General features: G+C 42.4%; 1 protein-coding gene and 1 pseudogene across 22 annotated transcripts in view; one reads left to right on the top strand and one right to left on the bottom strand.

The window, feature by feature from the left end:
- IGFL2 (IGF like family member 2) overlaps nt 1–11,025 on the bottom strand; it is a 136,850-nt gene that overhangs the window by 95,334 nt on the left and 30,491 nt on the right. The gene's annotated exons all lie outside the window — the stretch shown is intronic.
- Nucleotides 6,171–6,824, top strand: LOC100533846 (solute carrier family 30 member 5 pseudogene; annotated as a pseudogene).

The raw sequence follows: 11,025 nt of genomic DNA, 5'->3' as shown, positions 1-11,025 counted from the left end.
GGAGCTCAGGATACAGAGGGCTGTCACACCGAGCTGTTCAACACCTAAGCCATTCATGGATGGCAGAGCCAAAAGAGCACTGACTGTAACACTCCCTCTGAGGCTTCATGAGTTGTGGGCATCCCCCAGATGCTGCTGCAGGGCCAGTACACAGTTGTGCTCCTGCCAGTGCCCAAAACACACCTACCCGGGCTCCTGCATCCCCTTGCCGGCAAGCTGCACCCCCACCCCACCCCACCCACTGGTGAGCAATTGAGCACTACAGGCTGAGCGAGTGAGGCACCTCTGTCACAAGTCTTGTGAAGGGGTTAGGGAAATTATCCCAATTGACCTGCAGTAGAGTGGTCTTTGCATGACTTCTTTGGCAGTATTCAGGGTCAGTGGTATCTGTGATTTCCTCAGTGGCTTAAGCTACAGCTATTAGTTGAGGTTGTAGTAAAGTTTAACTGGGAACTTGGACGTCAACTAAGCCAGTCTTTGGCCCCAGTAGTAGCAGCAGTGGGATGAGAATGACTGTTTTTAGGCCCCAGAGCAGCATACCCTGGCTCCAGTCAGTAGGTTCTAGGGGCTGATTCTTGGGCCTCCAGATGTCTGGCTTAGAAGCTTGCAGTGGGAACGATGATCCCTGTGTGTGGGCAGGTTCTCAGACCTCTGGGCAGCTGGTGTGGCATGGGAGATAGCAGTAGCAGTGGTAGAACAGCTCACTGGGACCCAAGCCCTCCATGTTGGTGTTACAAGAAGATGCGATCAGTTGGCAGGCTTGTCCCCAGTCCCACAGTCACTTGTAGTACTGCAGTGGTCACTGTCCTAAGTGTGGTGTACCCTGGAGAGCTTGGACTACCCTGTTTGGTAAGAGAGCTTAGTCTACCCTGTTCCTCTCCCAGCAGGGTGTGGAACTCATCACCTCAAACTCACCTGGAGGGCGGGGCACAGCCAAGTGTTAAACTCTCAAAATGGTGCCAGCTGTGGGCTTGTGACCAGACAAAACAGAGATCCCTCCCAGAAAAGCATCATCCCATAGCAGGGTGTTGAGTATTATCTTGAGTATGTATAAGGGAGTCTGGACTCCCTGTCCCTCCTAAACCGGGCCACAGCTGCAGCCATGTCAACTCAAACTGAGGCCAAGGGCAGGGCACAGCCTGAACTTAAACTATGGAAACTGCACCTTGGGCCTGCAACCAGAGAGGCTGAGGTCCCTCGCAGGCAAGCAGCATGGGCAAGAAGCTATGGGGAATGCAGTCTGCTCACGTGTAAGTCTCAACTTCAGCCTTCAGCAGGGAGGCAGTAACTCTCCCAGGGGTGCATGGGAGTGCCTGGTCTCCCCTCTGCCTCCTTGCAGCAGTAAAGTGGCAGCAGCTGTCTGTAGATACCTGATGTCTGGGCTCTCAAAATGGTGCCCATCTGAGGCTGCCCAGGGTTCAGATGCCTGTGGGAGTGTGTGGGGGTTCCCTTTCTGGAGCAACATCTTTGGGCAGCTTCATATGTCAGGCCGGAGGCCCTAATGAGTCCGGGGTTTCTCCCACAGCCAAGATTATAAAAGCCTGTCTAGGAGTGTGGAGCCCAGGGGCTTTCTCTCTTACTGCTTCCCCACACATTCCAGGAGCCTCTCCCAGCTCAGTCAATCCCAGGTGGGCAAGCTGCCTCAAACCCTTTTCTTACTTCTGGTGCTTCCCATCTCTTCTCTGGTGAACCTCAGCATTCTCTCCTAGACCATTTGTTTGAAATGTGAGTATCTACTTGCTATTCTGGTTTTCTCTGTGGGGGAGACAAACATACCTGCATCTATTCAGCCGTTATGATTCATCTCCAAAGTCTATTCCAATTTATAGAAGTTTGAAAGGCTGCCTCTAGACTATCGGTGGTTTAATGTTAAAGACATTTATGAACACTAAACTTCTCTTTAAAATTTTTTATTGTTTTAATTGCCTCCTGTTTACCTTGTTTATAAGAAAAGGATGCCCACCCTAGGGCTGTGGGGATGGCAAAACACAGGACGTTAATTCTGGGTGGATAAAATCAACAGTAGATTATTAGCCCCACGTATGCTCACAGCCTGAGGGAGGACACTGCATGCTAAGTATGGCCACAAAGGTTGCATTTAGGAGCACCTAACAAGCAGGGGCTAAGGAAGGCAGGCTCTGTAGTGTCAAGAGAGTGAGGTGGTCCCTGGTTCCTGCAGGAAGAAGTGCTATCTCCATTCTGGGGCCTGTAGTCCCAAGCAAGATTCATTTTAAAAATGAACAGATGGTAGTCCGGGCGCGGTGGCTCACACCTGTAATCCCACCACTTTGGGAGGCTAAGGTGGGTGGATCACGAGGTCAAGAGATCGAGGCCATCCTGGCCAACATGGTGAAACCCCGTCTCTACTAAAAATACAAAAAAATTAGCCAGGCTTGATGGCACATGCATGTAGTCCCAGCTACTTGAGAGGCTGACGTGGGAGGATCCCTTGGGCCCAGGAGTTTGAGGCTGCAGTGAGCTATGATTATACCACTGCACTTTAGCCTGGGTGACAGCACAAATTCTGTCTCTAAAAAAATCAAGCAAGCAAGCAAACAAACAAACAAAAAACAACAAAAAAGAAGGGACTGGAAACCACCAATTCAATCAGAAAAAAAAATTGACTTTTAAGAGAATTCTTCTTGGCCTGGTGCAATGACTCACACCTGTAATCCTAGCACTTTGAGAGGCAGAAGTAAAATGATCACTTGAGGCCAGGAGTTCAAGACCAGCCTGGGCAACATAGTGACACCTCATACCTACAAAATATCTACAAAATATAAAAATTTAAAAAGAGAGAAATCTTCCTAACTGCAGCCTCAATTAACCTTTATTCTCTAGGTATACTGAAAAACTTACTGAATAGGCTTAGCTCAATTAAAGCTTAAAATTATTTTAAAAATAAATAATAAAGTACCTTACATAATGAGAAAAAAATAGTCAAAATAAAGCTCAAGATTTTAAGGCTTCATTTTAGAATCAAATCCTTGCCTACTTTTACTCCAATCAATTAAGTTTATGCCAAACCAGTATATAAAATTTTTACTAGTTATTATAATTGCCTAATTTAATATAAGATAAACAAGTTAATTAATTTAACTTGTGTAAGTTGTACAATATAAATAATTTAATATAAGTTAAATTCGAGTGTGAAAAGATTTACTGGCTCTATTAAAACTAAAAATAATAAGCAAGGTAATGGGTATGTTAATTAGCTTGATTTAATCTTTCCACAAAGGTACCACTGTAGGTTGGTATGACTTTCCCAGAACTCCGTTACATGAATTAGAACATCACATTGTATCAAATAAATGCACACAATTATAACTTGTCCATTAAAAAAATACTAATTGGCCCGCTTCAGTAGCAAGCACATGTAATCCCCACAACCCAGGAGGCTGAGGTAGGAGGATTCCTTGGGGCCAGAATTTCGAGACTAGCCTGTGCAACAGAGTGAAACCTCATCTGTAAAAATTTAAAAATTGTTCTAATTAGAATAATACTAATCAAAAATTGCTTTAACTAAAGCAAATGCTTTGGAAAGATTCAATATATCTGAATCAGCAAAGAGACATTGTTCTTATTTGCTAGAGGCAAAGCAATGTATTTTTTTAATTACTAAAATCTAGGATTTCCCAGTCAGACTATTAGGTAAATGTCCTTAAACTCACAGCATTTTTACAGAAAACCACAAGTAGATATTGCCAGCAATGCATTATCAACGGTGTTGCTGCCAGAAAGACAACGAGAGCTCTTTTCTGTAAGCTCACACTCACAGAGAAAATTATTTGGTATGTCTTAAAAGACTGGGAAATGAGGAGATATACCTAATGTAAATTACGAGTTAATGGGTGCAGCACACCAACATGGCACATGTATACATATGTAACAAACCTGCATGTTGTGCACATGTACCCTAGAACTTAAAGTATAATAATAAAAAAAAAGATTGGGAAATGAACAATCCAAAAATAGAATTAACAGTCCCACTTATAACATCAACAAAAGGAAAAATGGACCCATCATCAGTCACCAAGACCTGAGAACAGAGAGTGGCAGCCCCTTCACACAGGCGGCAGAGCAAGGAAGCTGTCAGCCGGCGAGCCTCCTGGAGTATACCTGAGATGGGCAGAACTGGGGACATCAGTTCTCTACAGCAGCCCTGCAATGAGGGGCTGGAGTGGTATAGAAAAAATTCCAACGCTTTTTGCTGGTAAGTGGCTCTACTCATTCATTTATCCCTGTCGCTGGTTCCCTTCTTGAAGCTTGAAAATAATCTGAACTTTCCATGTCAAGAGCAGCTGGCCTCCTCCCATACATTAATTTTCTGTATTGGCTAGGTATTGGCTGCAAACACAAGATTAAATTACACAGAGAGTCGGGTAGTGAAACTGCTCCCACTCAGGCTGAGTCACCAGATTCACCCTGAGGTGAATCTGAATCAGGCTGAGGTTTCTGGGGTTGGCTGTTAGCTTGGGTCTGCATAGCTACCTCTCAGAGAACACACTGGCCACAGCTCCCAAGCTGTAGCTGTTTCTGCCTCCCCTGACCCAGAACTGCTACTTCCCTCAACATTTCCAGTGATTCGCTGCATTTCATTTTGTCTTGTGTTTTCTACTGACGCCGCCTTATTTTTGTTTTATGTGCCTTACCTGATATTTTGGGGGTTATTCACATTTTTAAAATGTATTTTCATTTTCCCTGTAAGAGAGAGCCTGTGTTTCTGGCTTGCAAACCAGGCTGGAGATGGCACCTTCCCCAGAGCTCAGGAATTCTGGGTGAGGATTGAGTGTGGGGAATGTCATGAGATTTAGCCTGCTCCTGTAGGCAAAAGGACCTTTTGAAACACACAAGTGGGGATAGTTAGGTATTTCATACACATAACATAGTTGTGATACGAAAACCAGAGAAAGATAATCACCAAATATTCTAGGACACTGGTCCTCAATATTAGCATGCACAAGAGTCACTAGGGCTATGGATGAACATAGGTGTGATACAAATGCCAGAGAAAGATAATCACCAAATATTCTAGGACACTGGTCCTCAATATTAGTATGCATGAGAGCCACTAGGGCTATGGATGAAAATGCAAATTTCTGGGCCTTACTCCCAGAGATTCTGATTCTGTAAACCTGTGGGGAGTCCAGGAAACTGCATTTTCAAAAAGCACCTGTATTAGTCAATTTTCACACTGCTATGAAGAGCTGCCTGAGACTGGGTAATTTATAAAGAAAAGTGGTTTAATTGGCTCACAGTTCCGCTTGGCTGGGAAGGTCTCTGGAAATTTAAAATCATGGCAGAAGGCAAAGGGGAACCAAGGCGTATCTTACATGGTGGCAGGAGAGAGAGAAGGAGAAAGTGCCACACTTTTTAACCATCAGATCTCAGGAGAACTCACTCACTATCACGAGAAAAGAATGAGGGAAACTGCCCCCATGATCCAATCACCTCCCACCATGTCCCTCCCTAACATGTGGGGTAATTCAAGGTAAGATTTGGGTGGGGACACAGAGCCAAACCATATCAGCACCCATGACTTTAATAAATGGAGTTCGCCAATAACTTCTGTGAAAACAAAGACTAACCAAATAAGAAAGTAAAGGCTATCTATTCTACAACAAAGAAGTCAGCCACCATCACTTCCATTTTGGGAGAGACTCAAAGACCAGCAGAGGAGTAGGAAAGCTTTATAGTGGAAAAGGTATCACCCTTTTTTTCGCATGTTCCCTGATTGGAGGCTGTTGGCATGGGGAAGCTGAGGATAGCTAACTAGATGCACAGCATCCTATGGGATTGGTTTAGGGTACGTATTTGGCTTTCCTACGTTGCTCCTAAGTTAGAAACAGGAACAAAAATTTGGGAAGTTGTCAGTTATTAATAAAGTCCTGGCCATTTGGAGCTGACTGTTACTGGAGTTACTGTTTAGTTTCCTGGATTGTTACCAGAGAAAGTCTGACTTCCTACAAGTGTGACTTACAGCAAGTGGCTTCCTGGGCTGTTTATTGTAGAAAAGTGGGTTGATTTCCTAGGCAGGCTGCTGTAGGTTATGGGTCAGAGTTCTGTTTTTATATGTGGTCTGGCCATTGTCTGTATATTTTGTCTCTCATCTCTAAGAAATACAGCCATAAACCAAGCTCTTTTTGTAACACAGAGCAGAACTTCAATACAGGGGACTGCTTTCTTCATTATTGCTGTCATCTATTTATTGCTGTTTTTTGACAGTGATGATCTCAAGGCTAAAACGGCTGAACACCCCATTTAATTAGGGTAGTTCAGGGCTCTAACTTACATGCTTTACACAACCATTGCCTTCTTAGACATGGCAGATAACAAGCATGGAATATTATTGCTAGTCTTGGCTTTGTGGTGTAAAGCTGGTTTTCATACAGCTCCCAGAAAGCTCTCTATAGACATCAGTGGAGCCAAAAGTCTTCAAGCTTTATCCCATCTTATTTCCTGCTTCTCTTGTGCCCATGGGTCATTGTCTTTCCTGTGACAACTGAGGTTAAAGATAAATCTTGGATTTCTCCCTTTATGGCTTCCACAATGCTTATCTTCTTTGTCGTAATCCTGGATATCTACGTGGATTCCATTTGTTCAGTCAAAATGGAAGTTTCCAAATGTCCCCATGATTGATCCTTTCCTGTTTTTATTAGTGCTTTGGAAATTTCTGAATACATCCAACAACAGTCTGACTTCAGGCTATGAACAAAATGGCATACCAGGAAAGTGCAGAACACATCCTGTCTGGAGGAGTGATAGTGAGTACTAGGTCTTCATTTTGTCTACCAACGTCTTTTCATCTCCCTCTAAGAGAGGACGGAACGCTTTTTGCCTCTGTAGAATCATTCTATGATGTGTTGACCAGCAGTCTGGGTCTCATCTCAGATGTATTTCACACACTCTATGACAGATGTGTTTTAGTCATGATATTTATTGCTGCCCTGATGAAAAGATGGAATGCAATGGGATTTTTCTCCTATGGGTGCACCCAAATAGAAATTCTCTCTCAATTTATTAATAGACTTTTTCTTTTCTCCAAGAAAATTCCATTTGTATTTCAATTGGTATTAAAACAAACTTACAAGTGTTTTGAAGGAATTGACCTCTTTCCTAACATGCACCTTTCCACTCTGAGCAGCAGCTCTAATGTACTGTATTTCCTTGACACCATTACCAAGTATGAGCCACATCATCAATTTGATAGCAGATTTGTAAAAACCAAACCAAAACATTACATTACATCCAGAATGTGATGATTCTTCCAAATCACTTTCAGCCACTGGCAGCCATCACAGCGACAAGCTGTCTACTCCCACTCCTCCTCTGCAGGCTTAAGCTATTAGAAAATCTATTCTCTAACATATTTGAAAGTTCTAAGGTCAAACAAGTTTTAGGGCTGTTTGATTCAGCCACTCATCCATGTCCTCAAGGTCCCAGCTTGTGTTCATCTATGCTTTGTGGTCCTGACTGTACTGGTTTCGCCTCCAGGCTCCTGGCACATGGATGGAACAGTTCTGGTATCACATCCAAACACAGCAATGTCCAGAGATCCAAAGAGATTCTCAGTCTTTTTCTTAGGAAGGAGGGACCTTCCTAGAAGCCCCACAGCTTTTTTCCTTTCTCATTGGAAAAACAGGGTCACTAGTCCACTCTGAAACCAATTTCTGACATGGGGTGGGGGCCACTATAATTATTTAAGGCCAAACAGAATGTACCCTCAGGTGGTGGTGGTGGTTTTTGTCATAATTGCAGATCTTGGACCTCCAAAATAAATGTGAAGCACAACAAAGAATACTTGCCTATTAGTTAAATTGCCTAATTTAAACTCTCAGTTTTGTTGAATTACTATTATTGGAAATTAAACTGCCTTTTGAAAGTTAGCTGGGAGCTTCTGACACACAGATGTTCGGCATCTCAGGGATAATTCTTCATAAAAGGAATAAACTGGTCACTCCAATTTCTCCTAGCTTTGAAAGTCGTAGAGTCTATTCTGCAGGACTATTTAATGAAGCAGTTTTGAATGCAACAGGAAAAGTTCCATGTAACAAAGCTTTCTGTTTCACCATTTCATCATAATGTAATCTTTTTTATTTGTACAGACTCGGGGTGTACATTTACAGGTTGTTACATGGATATACTTCATAATGGTGAGGTTTGGGTTTCTATTAATAGATTTTTCTAATGGCAAAACTTGTTTTTGTGTTAGTCAGTGGTTCAATTGATCCTCTAGGACTAGATACACATATTAACACCAGTCTCAGCTACGGGGCTGGTAGTAAACCTGATTGGTATCTATGCCCATAACAATACCTATTGAGCTACTCAATGAAGATGTGACTCATCTAATCATAGCCATTAGTATCATATACGTGGACACCATGACTGTGAAACAGTTACAGCCATTAATGAGGCATGAGTGCTAGAAGAAAGATGTATTTCCATATGTTTTGGCAGACACACTTGGCAATGTGGGTGTGATCATATCCATTATGCTCACAGAGCGGTGTGGGTGGCTTATTGCTTAACTCTTCTATTCTCTTTTTATTGCCATATGAATACCTCTCAGTGTTGTCCCATTAATTAAAGATGCCTGTCAGTTTATCAGGTCATCCTTTTGAGACTACCACCAGAATATCCAACAGATATACATACTTATTTTAAAAACTGAGGCTTCATATTACACTGAGACCTTCACTTTTTGATATCATTCTGCCACTATTGGGACAGGACCAACTGATATAGAGGTGACATCCAATGTGCTGGAACAAAGAATGGTACTGCAAGTTGTAGGAGTAAAGATGCTAGATTAAACAATTTAACAATTCAAGTGGAAAAAGGGTTACTTTCAACATATGTCTGATCTAAGAACTGGATTTTATAATGTTCTGGCTATAACAAAACAAACGAAGAGTATAAAGTACTGCAAAAGACGGTACTTACATCATGTAAGATAACTCAACAACTACCCTGGGGTATGAGCAATAAAGAATAAATGACTCAGTATTTATGTTGCTAGAAGTAAAAAAAATTGTACATAATTATAAAGAAACATGTCACCATATTTTAAAAAAATAACAAAGCTCCTCATTATTAAATCAAGGAATATTTCTTACAGGAAATTTAAATACAGAATGAAACATTAATTGTATAAGTAAAATAACTTATTTAAATTACATATAGAAACAGAATTTTAAAATATAAGATCATGATGTATCGTATCATCTTGGAAAACAGACAAATAGTAATGAGTTCTAATGAAGACAAAAATCACTTCTGGGTGTTTACTTCTTGTCAGAAGGTATCTCCACTATAAACTGTATTGCATGCTTAAAACAAACACCTACAGTAAACATTGAACAACTTTTTGCATAGCCAAAGGATAAAATAGCAAAAAAGTTGTATTTTTATGGATTCTCTGTGTATAAAACTGGTTCCTAATTATAACAAGTCCATTAAGTAAACTCTACATTGCCACTTTAATTGTATACTAAATTATTTGGAAAAATTGCTGCCACTGATATGAAACAAGCAATGAGAATATGAAAGTATAATATTAGTTTTTGATGTATCATAAAACCAACACTGGAGAGCCACAGGGGACAAGGGGAGCCCCCATCCTCAGCCAAAAAAGGCAGTGAGTGATTGTGTTGTTGCAGGAATCAGGAGGACCAGAGAGACCTGAGGGTGAAATACAGGAGCATCTTTATTGAGTACACTCAGACCCAGCAGACTTAACATCCAAAAACTGCGCCCTGAACAAAGACAGGGTCTTGCTTATACACCTTCTTCTGAGTGGCATGAAAAGTGAATGTACAGAAGCAGAACAAAGGCAGTTTATCAAACAGTGACAGGTTCATAACTCAGGTTTACGTGTGTCTCTTGCTATGTGGCCCCGATGGCTGTTATCTAGCTTATGCTCAAAGGAATCTTGTCCAAACTTATGTCCTTTGCTGTGGTGCCTGGAGGGCTACAATCTAGGCTTACTCGAACATGTCTTGTGACCTTTGTTATGCAGCTCAGACGAAAAACAGAAACTTACAGTTATTAGTGTCAGGCCTCTGAGTCCAAGCTAAGCCATCATATCCCCTGTGACCCGCATGTATACATCCAGATGGCCTGAAGCAACTAAAGATCCACAAAAGAAGTGAAAATAGCCAGTTCCTGCCTTAACTGATGACATTCCACCATTGTGATTTGTTCCTGCCCCACCCTAACTGATCAATTGACTTTCTGACAATACACCCTCCCCACCCTTGTGATAACTACTTTGTGATATTCCCCCACCCTTGTGAATGTACTTTGTATGATACACCCTCCCCACCCTTGAGAAGGTAATTTGTAATATCCTCCCCTACCCTTAACAAGGTACTTTGTAATATTCTCCCCCACCCTTAAGAAGGTACTTTGGGCCGGGCGCGGTGTCTCACGCCTGTAATCCCAGCACTTTGGGAGGCCGAGGTGGGTGGATCACGAGGTCAGGAGATTGAGACCATCCTGGCTAACATGGTGAAACCCCATCTCTACTAAAAATACAAAAAAAATTAGCTGGGTGTGGTGGCGGGCACCTGTAGTCCCAGCTACTCGGGAGGCTGAGGCAGAAGAATGGCGTCAACCTGGGAGGTGGAGCTTGCAGTGAGCCAAGATTGCGCCACTGCACTCCAGCCTGGGCAACGGAGCAAGACTCCGTCAAAAAAAAAAAAAAGTACTTTGTAATATTCTCCCCATCCTTGAGAATGTACTTGGTAAGATCCACCCCCTGCCCACAAAACATTGCTCCTAACTCCATTGCCTATTCCAAACCTATAAGAACTAATGATAATCCCACCACCCTTTGCTGACTCTCTTTTTGGGCTCAGCCCACCTGTACCCAGGTGATTAAAAAGCTTTATTGCTCACACAAAGCCTGTTTGGTGGTCTCTTCATACAGACACACGTGACATTTGGTGCCAAAGACCCGGGGGAGGGGGACTCCTTCGGGAGACCAGTCCCCTGTCCTCACCCTCACTCCATGAGGAGATC

The sequence above is a fragment of the Homo sapiens genome, chromosome 19 (genome assembly GCF_000001405.40).
Source record: "Homo sapiens chromosome 19, GRCh38.p14 Primary Assembly".
In the NCBI taxonomy this organism is placed as follows: Eukaryota; Metazoa; Chordata; class Mammalia; order Primates; family Hominidae; genus Homo; species Homo sapiens.
This window is presented reverse-complemented; position numbering and strand designations above follow the sequence as displayed.